Genomic DNA, 16798 nt, shown 5'->3' on the forward strand with positions numbered 1-16798 from the left:
CTTTTACCCTAAGAACTGACTCATTATAGTGAAGTACTCCCAAGTTATGATCATACTACTTGCACCACACTTCCACGCCTGTCTGCATGTGGGCAAGCAGCACACCTGCTTGATACAGTCAAAGTGGACTCACTTGAACCACTGGGGCTGGCATGCTCAACCACCTGACCCCAAGCCTTTTCCCACCACTTTAGTTCTCCCTCTTAAGGTCACTCACACAAACTGTTTTTCTTGTTTCCTATCTTTACTCAATGGCAAGAAGATTCCTGGAGCTCAAATATTTCGGCTGACAGACTTCCGTACTGAAACACTGGTAGTAAATTCTGCATTGTCAAATAAGATGCTCCTCAAACTACAATGAGGTTATGTCCTAATAAGCCTGTCATAAGTTAAAAATATCATGTCAAAAATGCATTTAATACACCTAACTTACCTGAAACATGCTCAAAACACTTACATTAGCCTGCAGTTGGGCAAAATCATCTAATGCAAAGCTTACTTTATGATAAAGTGTTGAACATCTCATGTAATTTGTCAAATATTATACTGAGTATGAAAAGCAGGACGGCTGTATAGGCAGTCAAAATATGGTTTCCACTGAGTTATATCACTTTTGTACCATTGTAAAGTTGAAAAATCATAAGCAGAACTGTCATGAGTCAGGGATCCTCTGCATGTGTAACACATTCCCAAAATGCTTCCTCTCTCTTTACCAGCTCTGGCTCAATTACTTACTATTGGAAAGTCTCCCTGTCTTATTTTTTATGTTTTTAAGGCAACACAAATTAATTCTTAAGTGACAGGTATATGCATAGTGCTTTAAATATTCATGTATCAAAGACAATGAAATTGAGATGTTTAACAATATGTTTTGTCTAAGAATGACAAGAGCTACTTCAGAACTCAGATGTGTCTCTACCTCCCTTCTCAACCTCATCTAATCACTCATTGAGCAGTGACATTTAACATACATAAATTGTATATTTATAACCTGCATAAGTATTTATATGCAATTTAAAATTATATTCACAAATATTAGAAGTATTTACACATATGACCTTATATATTACATTATATACACACAATTTTGGTCTATCTGTACCCTAATTTCTGCAAAAGTTGTATCTCAAGGTGGAACTCAGGGAAGCTCAGTAGTTAAAAGGATGGACTCTGCCAGCTGTCAGTCTGTTGCTTTTCAGCTCCATTTCCACCTTTCCATTGCCCTACCTGTGTCTGCTAACACTTTTTTTTTTTTTTTGAGATGGAGTCTTGCTCTGTCACCCAGGCTGGAGTGCAATGGCACCATGTCGGTTCACTGCAAACTCCACTTCCCAGGTTCAGGCAATTCTGCTGCCTCAGCCTCCTGAGTAGCTGGGACTACTGGCACGTGCCACCATGGCCGGCTAATTTTTATATTTTTAGTAGAGACAGGGTTTCACCATGTTGGCCAGGCTGGTCTCAAACTCCTGACCTCATGATTCACCCACCTCAGCCTCCCAAAGTGCTGGGATTACAGGTATGAGTCACCACGCCCAGCCAGCTAACACAATTTTAAGCAACATCGGTAGAGGCTGCCGGAGGACGTACACTGGAAGAAAAAGGGCTCTTCTTCCTGGTTCTCTTCTTACCTGAAGGCATGTGGCAGCAACCCGTGGGCAGCTTTTCTCCAGACCCCTGAGAATGGTCTCCCAATGTACCATTCCCACTGGCAGATTCCCAGTGAGTTCTGCAGTGTGGCACCCCACTGTGGACAGCTTCCCCCTAGAACCCCAGAAGGCCAATCCCCTGCAAGTCTCCCTGCAACACTTCGGTGAACTACTCTGCCATGCAGTAAGACACACCTACTCCAGTGAGGTCTGGATCCCAGCCCTGGGGGAGGGGGTGCCTCTTTGGGTACTCTGCTCCTTATTTCTGCTACTCCTATATTCTTTAGAGTTTTCTTTACCCATACTAACCAATTTGTTATTGTTTATATTAAGCGTTCCCTGTTCAATTATTGTGTGTTCTCTGTCTTCACAGTGCACTCTAACTGATACAAAAATACTGAAGAGCTGCAAGATTGTCCCTATAGGAAAATATTCTAAGTCAAAACAACCACCTTTGAGAAATTTAGTAATGTATGTATAGTTTGACCAGCAAGATATAAGTGAAGTATGAATATCTTAGGAGGGACATCAGAAAACCCTTTAATTGCTTAATTTCTAATATGCTAAGTTGGCAGACATTTTGTATTTTCCAAGTTCTTCTGCCTAACAGAGTCAGAGCTAGATTCCACCAAGTAACCAAATCACATTTTTGAAACAAGGACACCAAGAAACTTACATTTTTGAACTCATTTCCCCTACAAAACCATACCTGAAGCCATACTCAATCCAATTAGATGTAATGTAATCAACATTTAGTGTCAACAACATTTCAGGGATTCTGCTAAGTGTTGGGGGCACAATGAGAAATGAACCAAAGACCTTGCCCTCAATCAGTCACAGCACCTGAGAGAGACAGGATACACATGCAAATATAATAGGGCGACAGCAGCAATGGAAACCCACACAGAGGGAGAAAAGGCAAAAGAAAAGAAGTTATTAACTCTGCTGGGGGGCCAGAGTAAGAGAGGAGAGGAGCACAGGGCAGAGACAAGGGACCCATGTTTTGAATAACCCATGAGCTGTGTGAGAAGGAAAGAGAGAAAAAAAAGGATACTTCAAGAAAAAGAAAATAAAAGAACAACAGCAATAAAGCACAAAAGAATAACACTGCAAGGCCATTTGAGGGAAATACAAGGACTTTCATACTAGCAGGGACATTCACTATAAGAGTGGGGGCCACGTGGGGGGAGGGAGGACTCTGGGCTGTATCTGGTGATGCAGAGGTCAAGGGTAGCTGGGTAGCCAAGGTGCTAAAATGGTTAGAAGCATACGTTAGGTAATTGGTGGCAGCACCAAGGGTAGACAACAAGTGACCAGAGCAGACACTGGGACATCAGTTATCACATGAACACAACAGACCTGGTGGAAAACAATAAGGGCTAGGACTAGGCTAGAGAGAAAAGTGGAGTTAAAGAGGATTTGGGAAATAGAATGAATGTGTCTTGGTAATTTACAAAATGTGGAAATATAAGAGAGGGAAAATTGGAAAATTCCATTTTTTTTTACTGGGGTGTCTAGATTCCACTAACCAAAAATAAAGAATATAGGTGGAAGCCCATGTGTGTGCATTTGTATATGGTGGTGAATGTTGGGAGAGTCATGGAAAATCCATTTAGTTTCGGTACAGGTCAGGTTTGGAGACAAAGTATGGTTAAAAAAAAAAAAAAAACAAAAACAAACTGAAAGAGTCAAGACAAAATCTTCTGAAATGCCTACATTTTAAAATTTGGCAAAATAACTGGATCCACGGCAGGTTGGTGGTGTCAGAGTAGACTGCTAGTAAAAAATATGGATTTACTAGCAGTCAAGAGAGGAGACGGTTTCAGAATAAGAGAGACAGAGACAGTCTCAGTCAAGATAAGAGAGATAGAGACAGTCCCACTGGCCTTTTAAAAACCTCCCTTTGTCCATCTCATCATGAGAGAGAGACAGAGAGAGAAATAGAGAATTATCAAGTACCATAAGAGAAATCAGGTCAAATGAAGAGAGATTTGCTGGTTTTTATCATCACCAGGTCACTTTTGACAGACAAGATTTACTGGAGTGGTGAAGAGGAGAAGCTCTCATCTCCTGAGAGGAAGCCCTGTCTTCCCCACCACCACTTTATTCATCTGCCTTACTCTTTCATTTTGCTCTGTTTTTTGTTTCCGCATATAACATCATCTGACATGCATTTATTGTCCATTCCTCCATCAAAACAGAAGGTAAGCACCTCAGCAGCCACTTTGTTTTGTTTGCTAATAAATCCAGTACCTAACACAGAGCCTGTCCTTTAGTGAGAGCTTAATAAAAATTTGTTGGCCAGGAGCAGTAGCTCACGCCTGTAATCCCAGCACTTTGGGAGGCCAAGGTAAGCAGATGGCTTGAGCTCACAAGTTTGAGACCAGCCTGGGAAACATGGCGAAACCCTGCTCTACCAAAAATACAAAAAATTAGCCGGGTGTAGTGGCACATGCCTGTGCTCCTAGCTACACAGTAGACTGAGGTGGGAAGATCGCTCAATCCCAAAAGCTGGAGGTTGTAGTGAGCCATGATCACACCACTGCACTCCAAACTGAGTGACAGAGTGAGATCCTGTCTAAAGAAAAAATATATATATATATATATTTTTTTTTTTTGAGAAAAAGTAATTACTACCCCCACACACTGAAATCTCCAGAGATAAACAGGAGGATTATACAGGCATCTAGCTCACAGGTGTCCTATGATGCTGATAACTGTGGGAAAAGAACCAGGGGATGGATAAATATCCAGTAACTGGAAGTCTAGGAAGTGATGTATTGAAAGGCATGAGCTCCAGAAGGAAATGGGCTTTCACATGAGGGAGGAAGAGTAACGATCTGAAAGCAGGAATGAAGACCCGTTCTCTTGGCCCTACGTGTAGAGGACAACGAAAGGCCCACAATCATAAGGCGGCTACATTTCCCCTGTCCTCAGCCTGCTGATTAGGTGTGGAGCCTTCCACATCACACATACTCTGAAGGCCATCACGAAGCCTGAACCATCAACCTTTAATCACTTAAGCTCCACATTTAGATCTCCAATATTACCTCACATCTCTCCTTAGGTGTCCCACTGGCACTCTAAATAAGTCTCAGAATTCATGACTTTTCCAATATTTGTTCTGCCTCCTGCTTGCCTATCTCAGTGAGTGACAGATCCCAGTTTCCATCCTCGAGAGGCCTGGAAATCATTCCTGACTCCTCACATCCTCCACGTTATATTCCCCAACATACAACTTGTCCCTGAACCCTGCTGATTCTATCCTCTCAGGCCCTTCTTCACCTCTCTATCTCCCATGACGGTTCTCCCTCCCTCTCCCTGGGGCTCAAGGGATGACAGCAAACAGCCTTGCAACTGCTTCAGAGGTTTATCTGGCAGCCACCCTATTCCCACTACCATTTTTTCTGAACTTATTGTCAATTGGCATATATATATATAAACACTGATCATTTAAATCCTTCTCCAGCTTAAAATTTTTCATTGGTCTTCCACCAAAATCGTCACCATGGCCTCTGAGGTCCCACTTCAAAAATGTCTCAAAGAAGACTGGGCACAGTGGCTCATGCTGGTATCCTAGCACTTTGGGAGGCCAAAGTGGGAGGATCACTTGAGCTCAGGAGTTGGAGACCAGCCTGGGCAAAACCCTGTCTCTACAATAAAATTTAAAAATTAGCCAGGGGTGGTGACACATGCCTGTAGTCCCAGCCACTCGGGAGGCCAAGGCAGGTGGATCACTTGAGCCCAGGAGTTCTTTTTTTTTTTTGAGATGGAGTCTCACTCTGTCACCCAGGCGGGAGTCCAGTGGCAACATCTCAGCTCACTGCAACCTCTGCCTCCCGGGCTGAAGCAATTCTCTCACCTCAGCCTCTGGAGTATCTGGGAGTACAGGCACAAGCCACCACGCCTGGCTAATTTTTTTTGTATTTTTAGTAGAGACGAGGTTTCACCATGTTGATCAGGCTGGTCTCGAACTCCTGACCTCAAGTGATCCACCTGCCTCAGCCTCCCAAAGTGCTGGGATTACAGGTGTGAGCCATGGTGCCCAGCCATGAGCCCAGGAATTCTAAGCTGCAGTGAGCTATGATCTCGCTACTGCACAGCAGTGAAACCCTGTTTCAAAAAAAAAAAAAAAAAGTCCCAAACTTCTTCTCTGGCCTCATCACAAGTTATTCTTCCTTGCTGGATCTCCGTGCTCCAGTCCCACAGGCCTTTTAAAAACCTCCCATTGTCTACCTCACCATCCCCTAATTATCTCAGTCACCATTCAGATCTCCACCCAGCTGATCCCTACTCAGGAATTTCTTCCCCAGTTACCCAGGCTTGGCTAGATCCTGTATCGTACGCTGTTACAGGACCTTTTCTTTTTTCTTTAAAATACTGATCACACTGTTACCGTAATATTTAAGTAAAAAATTTAATTCTTATCTCTTTTCCTCACTGGACAGTAAGTTCCATGAAGTCAAAGACTGTTTCATTCACCATTCTATCTGTAGCACCTAGCACTAGGCTACGTACATAGACAGCAAGCACCCAGAAAATATCCACTGGATGAGTGAATGAGTGGTTTGGATGGTTAAACCAATGATTTAATTCCCCCATCCATGCACATGTATAATTTAAATAATTAATGAATCAGGAAGAGGGAACAATACTGCAGAGGAAGAAATCACAAAGAATAACATCACAGAGGAAAGGCTGGACTGTGGTGGCTCATGCCTGAAATCGCAGCACTTTGGGAGGCCAAGCCTAGGAGTTAAGAGGCTGCAGTGAACCATGCACTCCAGCCTGGGTGACAGAGTAAGACCATCGCTTAAAAAAAAAACTACTACTACTACTAAAAATAATGTTGCAGAGGAAAGAGGGAAAGAATGAGCCTCGTCTTGTGAGAAGCAGCTGATCAACTGCCCGGAGAGCAGGGCTCACAGTACAGTGAGAAAGAATCCCTGGATAAGCAAAGAAGGATAGGTACGGAGATGTAATTTGATACAGGAGGCAATGGAAAACACGAAAGAAGGAAGTGACATGTTGAAAGATTATTTTGGAGAGTATTTAGCAGAGGAGTAGTGAGTAGGAAGGCAGAGGTGTGAGCAAAACTAGGGCAGACTTTAAAGCTGTGAAACCCATCCATACACTTGCATAATTTAAATAATTAATGAACCAGTAAGGTTTACTGATTCCTATTATATGCTCATATACGAAAGGAGTATAAAACATGGACCTTGTCCATATGAAAAGGGGAGGAAAGGATATCACAGGGAAGGAAGCATAATGAGTAATGTCCCAAAGGACAGAGTGAGATTAGTTTTGTGAGTAAAATAAATTATACTGTCTAATAAATATCTAATACTTCCTATAATCTGTGTTCTTACAGAAATAATAATAGAGTTTAAGACAATCTTTCAGGCTTATCAGTTATGAAACTAACAATGATGGGTTTACTCTCACTAAATATAAAATACCTGAATCCTACATCCTTTCATAACAACAGTTATCAAGTTAAAGTCAGGTAAAGTGTGGTTACATGTGGAAACTGGTTCCAGAGCTGGTCTCCAGGCGTCGGTGGTCACCCTCCAACTTTCTGCTGTGGGACCCAGGATTCTCAGTGAAATTCTGCCTGGAGTACCAGCAGGGCACCATGCTGGTGTCGAAGCTGTCATGGGAATTCCTTACATTGACAAACTCACCAAGTAGCAGATATCCTGTCTCCCTAGAGCTCTTCCTGTATTAACTCCTTTAATCCTTACAGTCACCTAGTACCCTCTCCAATATCATCGTCTTTTAAAGGTTAAGTGGTTTAAGCAGAGGAGATAAGTAACTGGCTTGAGGTCACACACCTCCTGGGAGAATAGAGACAGAATACTGGGCCTTGGAATCTAAAAACACTACTCCTTTACTCCTTTTCTCTCCCATTCCTCCACCCCAGCCTGGGTGCACCTTTGGCAGCCAGATGTCCTGCTGGTTGCTGGCCAACACCTGTGGAATTATCGACCAGTGACTTTCTTGTGAAAATGCCACTGGGCACACAACTTATTCAGTGTGGCGTTTAGTAACCTCACGTCGGAAAACTATGACATACCACTGTGTCCGGAATTGGTGGGTTCTTTGTCTTGCTGACTTCAATAATGAAGCCACGGACCCTCGCGGTGAGTGTTACAGTTCTTAAAGATGGTGTGTCCAGAGTTTGTTCCTTCAGATGTTCAGATGTGTCCGGAGTTTCTTCCTTCTGGTGGGTTCGTGGTCTCACTGACTTCAGGAGTGAAGCTGCAGACCTTCGCAGTGTTACAGCTCTACAAGGCATCGCCTCTGGAATTGTTCATTCCTTCTGGTGGGTTCGTGGTCTTGCTGGCTTCCGGCTTCAGGAGTGAAGTTGCAGACCTTCGCTGTGAGTGTTACAGCTCTTAAAGGCGGTGCGGACCCAAAGAGTGAACAGCAGCAAGATTCATTGCAAAGAGCGAAAGAACAAAGCTTCCACAGCGGGGAATGGGACCCCAGCCGGTTGCCGCAGCTGGCTCTGGCAGCCTGCTTTTATTCCTTTATCTGGCCCCATCCACATCCTGCAGATTGGTCCATTTTACAGAGAACTGATTGGTCCGTTTTGACAGGGTGCTCATTGGTGCATTTACAATCCCTGAGCTAGACACAGAGTGCTGATTGGTACATTTACAATCCTCTAGCTGGACATAAAAGTTCTCCAAGTCCCCACTAGATTAGCTAGATACAGAGTGCTGAATGGTGTGTTTACAATCCTTTAGTTAGACACAAAAGGTCTCCAAGCCAGATTAGCTAGACACAGAGTGCTGATGGGTGCATTTACAATCCTCCAGCTAGACATAAAAGTTCTCCAAGTCCCCACCAGATTAGCTAAATACAGAGTGCTGATTGGTGCAGCCATGAATCCCGAGCTAGACACAGATTGCTGATTGTTGCATATACAATCCTCCAGCTAGACATAAAAGTTCTCCAAGTCCCCACTGGACTCAGGGGCCCAACTGGCTTCGCCTAGTGGATCCCACACCAGGGCTGCAGGCAGAGCTGCCCACCAGTCCCGCACCGTGCACTGGCACTCCTCAAACCTAGGGCGGCAGATGGGACCGGGTGCCGTGGAGCAGGAGGTGGTGCCTGTTGGGGAGGCTTGGGCCACTGGGAGCCCACGGCGGGGGGTGGGGGTGGGGGTTGGTTGGGGAGCTAGGGCATGGCGGGCTGCAGGTCCCCAACCCTGAGCGGGGAGGCGGCTGAGGCCCAGTGAGAACTCCAGCGCGGCTCGGGCGGGCTGGCAGTACTGGGGGATCCGGCACACCCTCCACAGCTGCTGGCCCAGGTGCTAAACCCCTTACTTCCCGGGGCCAGCGGTGCTGGCTGGCCGCTCCAAGTGTGGGGCCCACTGAGCCCATGCCCACCCGGAACTCACGCTGTCCTGCAAGCGCCCCGCACAGCCCCGGGTCCCCGCCCGCACCTCTCCCTTCACACCTCCCTGCAAGCAGAGGGAGCCAGCTCCGGCCTCAGCCAGCCCAGAGAGTGGCTCCCACAGCGCAGCGGTGGGCTGAAGGGCTCCTTGAGCATGGCCAGAGTGGACATCGAGGCTGAGGAGGCACCAAGAGCGAGCAAGGGCTGCTAGCACTTTGTCACCTTTCACTATGTATGTCACATTTGTCCACATTTCAGTAAATTTTAACTTACATACAGCCTTCAATCTGAGCACCACCAACTGCCACTCTTCCCATTAATCTACTCAGCTTATATACCAAAGAAGTCACTGAATATCTTAACAAAGTCGCGGTGAACTAATAACAAAAGTGAAATGTGATTACTATAACAAGAAACTATATCTGCCAAAAGTAAGTCTGCTCAGCTGTCTAAACAAGGCTTCAAACATACTTTTCCACAGAAGCCCTTATTGTTCACACATTGCTGTTGATTTGAACCATGCATTACTTCTTTGATTTAAAAGGATTTTATAATGACGAGAAAAACATTATCTGCTTGCCAAATCATTGTGGCTATGAGATGGTTCCAGGAAGGCTGCCAGCATGTGTTCAGCAAAACGCTGAGAAAAGTACAAGAGTCTCACTTATAAGACATGCCTTTTTCTCCTGAATAATGCCAAATAAAATATTGTCTCATAATTTCCATAACCTATGCTGTCCTTGGAGAAACAGCAACATAGATTTTAAAACTACTTTTCAGGTGTTATCAATTCATGAAGCTTTGTAACTGTGGTGAAGTTTAGTCTCACTAGAAATCAAATAATTTTGGTTTTCCAGTATGTAAATACCAGTATTTTTTTTACGTGGAAACATTTTACTTCCTGATTCATACGTGTTGTAATCCAAACTTAAAAGAGATACACTTTAAAAAGGAAAATCTGAACCTCAAGTGTGCTGAAGCTCTAAGACATGAACTGTTTTACTGGATGGAAACACACTAAGGCAGCATTTGTCCATCTGTGGGACCTGTCTGTGACTCACACAAAACGGAGTCCTCTGTGGTGACACCAGACACAGAAATGCAAAGGAGCCCGGGGCTCCATTCTGACTATGCTGTCCAAGAAGACACACTTTGGCTCCCTGTTAACGCCCTAGATGTGGAGAAAGAACAATGGTCACGTACCGGAAAAGGCCAGTGTGCCTCCTCTGATTTCAAGTGAAAACTCTAAAGTGATGTTCTCTCCTTTCATTTCCAGTTATTTTTTGGAAAAGTCATCCACCAAGGTGAGTTAAATGATAACGTGTACTAAATTTTTTAAAAATTATCCAGTCTATCACTGATGGGCATTCGGGTTGGTTCCAAGTCTTTGCTATTATAAATAATGCTGCAATAAACATATGTGTGCATATGTCTGAATAAAGAAAATGTGGCACATATACACCATGGAATACCACGCAGCCATAAAAAAAGAATGAGTTCATGTCCTCTGCAGGAATGTGGACGAAGCTGGAAGCCATCATTCCAAGCAAACCAACACAGGACCAGAAAACCAAACACCATACATTCTCACTCATAAGTGGGAGCTAAACAATGAGAACACATGCACGCAGGGAGGGGAACAACATACACCAGGGCCTGTTGGGGGCGCTGGGGGTTAAAGGAGGGGAGAGGATTAGGACAAACACCCAATGCACACAGGGCTTAAAATTTAGACTATGGGTTGATAGGTGCAGCAAACCACCACGGCACATGCACGCCCATGCAACAAACCTGCACGTTCTGTACATGCATCCCAGAACCCAAAGTAAAAAAAACAACAACAAAAAAAGAAATTATAACCTCTTGAACCTCAAAATAAAATAAAATAAAGACCTACTTGTGCATCTTTTGCCAAAGGAAACAAACTTAAGGTAAGGGGGTGGGGAGGAGAGCAGTAAACCCTGGGAAAAGCCAACATGATCCGAAACTTGGACTGTCTAAATTATTAAAATATTCTTTAAAAAATGAATAGGTTCCTGACTGATTAGTCTGTTTACGAGAAACACCTACAATACATTAGAGTAGACAATAAAATAACTAAGGGGGAGTATCTCAATTACTTGTTAGGGTCCTTCATAAAATTTTATTAATGGCACCTTAAATGTAAACACTACAGAGAAACTGCCAGAAGAATGAAGACTTAGCAGAAAATACATGTCTTTTGCCACAAGTAATGAGAAAACAAGAGCCAAATGTTTGTCTTTAAAGTTGGTTTGCTTACCCTTCAACTTTGACATTCATTTGAAAAATGAGGACATTTTATATACCAGGCTGTATCTCGACTGCTCACTACATTGCAATACAATAAGCTTATGTTCAAGCAGCAGTTGGAGAAGGATGCTGTTAGCCCCAATTAAATATCCACTTCACACAGCATGACTACAGAGAGATCCTGCTTCCCATGATGACTGATCAGCTCAAGTACCATCTGGAGAGACAGGAGAACCTGGAGGCCTGCTGTCAGCTGCTCAGCCACATCCTGGAGGTGCTGTACAGGAAGGACATGGGGCCAACTCAGAGGCAGATCCAGATTATCATGGAGAAACTTCTCCAGACTGTGAACCAAACCATCATTTCCATGGGACAAGATTCCGAACTCACTGTAAGTGCTTGGTGACAGTATTTTTTTTTTCCAGGTCACTTTGTGTGCCCAAAGCCAGTCAATGGATTCTTTGTTGGCACTGTTTTGTGCCAGGCTTTTTATCCATCCAAGTCTCCCTCAACCTACCTTCTAGCCTTCTCTTCCATTTCTTTCAAGAACATATTTTCTGTTCCAGTAAAAGGACACACTTGTGTAGCCCTCCACACTCTGCGTACATTCCCACCCCCATAGCTTAACCATTTGTTCAATAAATGTTTACCAAGACAAACCAAAATGCCAGGCAATATGATCAGGTGTCATAAGCAAGGGTTTGCTTCCTTCCTAGAGCTTACAGTGGGGCAAACAAATGGTTATACAAACCAATATGCCTGTGGCTTGATAAATACTAGTGAGAATTTCTGGTGCTATAAGTTTGTAACAAAGTTTGAATCTAGCTGAGGAGGTCATGGTGGCTTCCCTGAGGAGGTGAGCAGAGATCTGAAGACAAAGAATTTGCAAATCAAAAGGAACCAAGGGGCCAGGAGACAGTGGGTAGAGGGAACACAGCCTATCTAAGGGGGCCTTAAGGCAGCTCCCTGGGCTGCAGTGAAGGGCCTGAGAGTACAGTGGAATGGGAGGTGCCTGAGGAGGACGGGTGGGCTTTGTCAGGCCTGGAAAGTGCTCTGGTCTTTATCCCAGGAGCATGGAATGCCATCAATATTTAAGGCAGAGAGTCACATGATAAAAACTGTATTTTGCAAATAGCTAAAATTTATTTTAGGGACTTCATGTATATTAACCCTCACAACTGCATAAAGAAGGTGCTAGTATTTATCTTAAAGGTAAACAACAACAACAACAACAATAAAAACCCAAAAAGCATACAGAAGTAAAGAGACATGGCCAAGATCACACAGCCAGAGTGTGGAAGAGTCAAGATTTAAGCCCAGTCTCACTCTAGAGCTCCCTTTTTCACCACCATGCAATCAAGTTCAGCAATTTATCAATTTGTGGCTCATTCGGCTGAGCTGGAAGGGCCAATGAGTAAATGGATTGGTAAGGATTAGGCAGGAGAATGCTCCTGTTCACCTGTTTGTCAAGCATTCCGCAGCTTGATGGTATTTCTCTATTCTAAGCCATCTTAATACTTTCCCATGCTCTGTGTAGGTATAAAACACTGCTGTCCTGTCTTATACCACATCATTGTATGTCTCTCTTGTTAAGACTGCAAACTGCATCTTTGAAATCTCTGTAGTGTCTAGTATCATTAGACACTCAAATTTTAAAGGAAATCATTAGGTCCTTGTGGTAATGGACTTTGGAAAGTTATTGAATCTAAAGGCTGCTGTGCTGACCAGTGTGGGATGAAGTTTTCATGAATTCAAAGTGAAAAAAGAAAATACAAGGACTTCAAAGTCCATTTTAATAAAGCTGATTTTAATATTCTAATAGTTGAAACTGTAGGTACAAGAAGTCACTTTTTGTAATACAATGTTATTAACTGTAAATGTGTGGTTTTGTTGCTGTATTCATCCAATGGATTCTTCCCACACAGCTGCACAGACAAAACCAACTCACTGAGACTGTGCTATAACAATAGAGAAGGAATTTTATTAATGCAAGGCTGGCCACACAGAAGATGGGAGTTATTACTCAAATTAATCTCTCAAAGGCTTGGAGTTTACGTTTTTTGTAAGGATAATTTGGTGGGCAAGGGTTTAGGAAATGGGGAATGTTGACTGCTTAGAGGTGAAATCACAGGTGTGTGGGAAATGGTCCTCCTGCACTTAGCCTCTGAGTAGGGGCCATAGGATGGGTTGCACCACTACTGTGGGTCTGGGTGGATTTAGTTGGTGGTCAAAAATGCAAAAATGTGAAAGATACCTCAAAAGGCCGATCTTAGGTTCTACATAGTGATGTTATCTATAGGAGCAATTCAGGGAAGTCACAAATCTTGTGACCTCTGGCCATAGGACTACTGAACAGTAAGGGGTTACAGAAATTATGCCTACATTTTAGCAGAATGTTGCAGGAAGTCAGGGACCTCGAATGGAGGGACCAGCTGAAACCATGGCAGAACATAAATTGTGAAGATTTCATGGACATTTAACACTTCCCCAATCAATACTCTTATAATTTCCTATGCCTGTCTTTTATCTCTTAATCCCGTCATCTTCGTAAGTTGAGGATGTATGTTGCCCAGGACCCTGTAATGACTGCGTTAACTGCACAAATTGTTCGTAAAGCATGTGCGTTTGAACAATATGAAATCTGGGCACCTTAAGAACAGGGTAACAGTGATTTTCAGGGAACAAGGGAGATAACCTTAAAGTCTGGCTGCCTGTGGGCCGGGCAGGACAGAGCCATATTTCTCTTATTACCGAAAACAGGTAAGATAAATATCACTGAATTCTTTCCCCAGTAAGGAATATTAATAATTAACAGCCCTGGGAAAAGAATGCATTCCTGGGGGGGGGGGGCTCTAAAATGGCCACCCTGGGAGTGTCTGCCTCATGCACATGTAGATAGGAATGAAACATGCCCTACTCTCCTGCAGCACCCCCAGGCTTGCTAGGATTAGGAAATTCCAGCCTGGCGAATTCTAGTCAGACCGGTTCTCTGCTCTTGAATCCTGTTAAGATGTTTATCAATGACAATGTGTGCACAGCAGGACGTGGACGTTCATTAGTGATTCTAGTTTCACCCTGACCTTGTGATCTCGCCCTAACCTTGTGATCTCACCCTGACCTTCTGCCTTGTGATCTTTTGTTGCCCTTAAAGCATGTGATCTCTGTGACCCACACCCTATTCGTATACTCCCTCCCCTTTGAAAATTGCTGGTAAAAACTTGCTGGTTTTACGGCTCAGGGGGCATCACGGAACCTGCCGACATATTATGTCTCCCCTGGACATCCAGCTTTAAAATTTCTCTCTTTTGTACTCTTTCCCTTTATTTCTCAGACCGGCCAACACTGAGGGAACATAGCAAAGGACCCACATTGAAATATCGGGGGCTGAATTTCCCCCAATAGCAGAACTCAGGCCCCTCTCACAATCCTAATCTTGTGGCCTTTCATTAGTTTTACAAAGATGGTTTTTAGTCCCTGAGAAAGAAGGGGTTTAGTTTTAGAGAGGGACTATTATCATCTTTGCTTCCAAGTTAAACTATAAACTAAATCTTTGCCATGATTAGCTTGACCTATGTACAGGAATGAACAAAGACAGCCAGCCTATGAGGCTAGAAGCAAGATAGAGTCAGCTATGTTAGATTTCTCTGTCATAATCTTTGCAAAGGCAGTTTTATTGTTGTTGCAATGGTTAATTACCTTTCTTGGCACACAAAAAAAGTACAATATCTGACCTCTGTTTTTATTTACTAATCCATGAATTCCAAAGATTTGAAAAACACTCGTTTAAACAATCCCATTTCTTTACCTATCAAATGTGAAGAATCACAGCTTAAAACTAATAGCAAATAATCTGTTTTATCTAAAAAATAAATTTTGTTAAGAAATACCTCTAGACCCTTATCTATAAACTAGGAGACACTTGCTTTCAAAAGATCCTTCCAACTTTTCTAAATCCCTTATGATTAATCTAAACCCCTCATATCAAATCTAAAGCCCTTAGACCAGGCCAGGCATGGTGGCTCATACCTGTAATCCCAGCACTTTGGGAGACCAAGGTGGGTGGATCACCTGAGGTCAGGAGTTCGAGACCAGCCTGGCCAACATGGCAAAAGCCTGTCTCTATTAAAAATACAAAAATTAGCCAGGTGTGGTGGTGCACGCCTGTAATCCCAGCTACTCAGGAAGCTGAGGCATGAGAATCACTTGAGTCTGAGAGGTGGAGGTTGCAGTGGGTCGGGATAATGCCACTGCACTCCAGCCTGGGCAACAGAGTGAGACTGTCTCAAAAAGAAAAACAATAAAACATCTAAAAAACTAGAAATACCATTTGACCCAGCCATCCCATTACTGGGTATATACCCAAAGGACTATAAATCATGCTTCTATAAAGACACAGGCACACGTATGTTTATTGCGGCATTATTCACAATAGCAAAGACTTGGAACCAACCCAAATGTCCAACAATGATAGACTGGATTAAGAAAATGTGGCACATATACACCATGGAATACTATGCAGCCATACAAAATGATGAGTTCATGTCCTTTGTAGGGACATGGATGAAATTGGAAATCATCATTCTCAGTAAACTATCGCAAGAACAAAAAACCAAACACCGCATATTCTCACTCATAGGTGGGAATTGAACAATGAGACCACATGGACACAGGAAGGGGAACATCACACTCTGGGGACTGTTGTAGGGTGGGGGGAGGGGGAGGGATAGCATTGGGAGATATACCTAATGCTAGATGACAAGTTAGTGGGTGCAGTGCACCAGCATGGCACATGTATACATATGTAATGAACCTGCACAATGTGCACATGTACCCTAAAACTTAAAGTATAATAATAAAAGAAAGAGCTCTCCGGTCCGTGCCTCCAAGATGACAAAGAAAAGAAGGAACAATGGTCGTGCCAAAAAGGGCCGCGGCCACGTGCAACCTGTTCGCTGTACTAACTGTGCCCGATGCGTGCCCAAGGACAAGGCCATTAAGAAATTCGTCATTCGAAACATAGTGGAGGCCGTAGCAGTCAGGGACATTTCTGAAGCAAGCGTCTTCGATGCCTATGTGCTTCCCAAGCTGTATGTGAAGCTACATTACTGTGTGAGTTGTGCAATTCACAGCAAAGTAGTCAGGAATCGATCTCGTGAAGCCCGCAAGGACCGAACACCCCCACCCAGATTTAGACCTGCGGGTGCTGCCCCACGTCCCCCACCAAAGCCCATGTAAGGAGCTGAGTTCTTAAAGACTGAAGACAGGTTATTCTCTGGAGAAAAATAAAATGGAAATTGTAAAAAAATAATAATAATAATAAAAGAAAGAAAAAAAACAACATCTAAAAAAAAATAAATAAAAATAAAAATAAAACCCTTAGACCAAATATAAAGCCTTGAACTGTCTATGCCTTCTTACATCCTGTTTTAAGAACTGAGATGAGTCTAGACCCAAATGAATACAAATGGGATTTG

At 43.4% G+C, this 16798-nt stretch overlaps 1 protein-coding gene and 1 pseudogene across 28 annotated transcripts in view, besides 1 other annotated feature; one reads left to right on the plus strand and one right to left on the minus strand.

The window, feature by feature from the left end:
* CADPS2 (calcium dependent secretion activator 2) overlaps positions 1 to 16798 on the minus strand; it is a 568050-nt gene that overhangs the window by 346693 nt on the left and 204559 nt on the right. The window lies entirely within an intron of this gene.
* Positions 14078 to 14634: an enhancer, noted in NCBI's record as "OCT4-NANOG hESC enhancer chr7:122319235-122319791 (GRCh37/hg19 assembly coordinates)". NCBI's record gives its function as "activates a minimal SCP1, AML or CMV promoter by ChIP-STARR-seq in primed H9 embryonic stem cells {active_cell/tissue: H9 hESC(primed)}" and the evidence as "EXISTENCE:reporter gene assay evidence [ECO:0000049][PMID:30033119]".
* Positions 16190 to 16623, plus strand: RPS26P31 (ribosomal protein S26 pseudogene 31; annotated as a pseudogene).

This window comes from Homo sapiens, chromosome 7 (genome assembly GCF_000001405.40).
Source record: "Homo sapiens chromosome 7, GRCh38.p14 Primary Assembly".
In the NCBI taxonomy this organism is placed as follows: domain Eukaryota; kingdom Metazoa; phylum Chordata; class Mammalia; order Primates; family Hominidae; genus Homo; species Homo sapiens.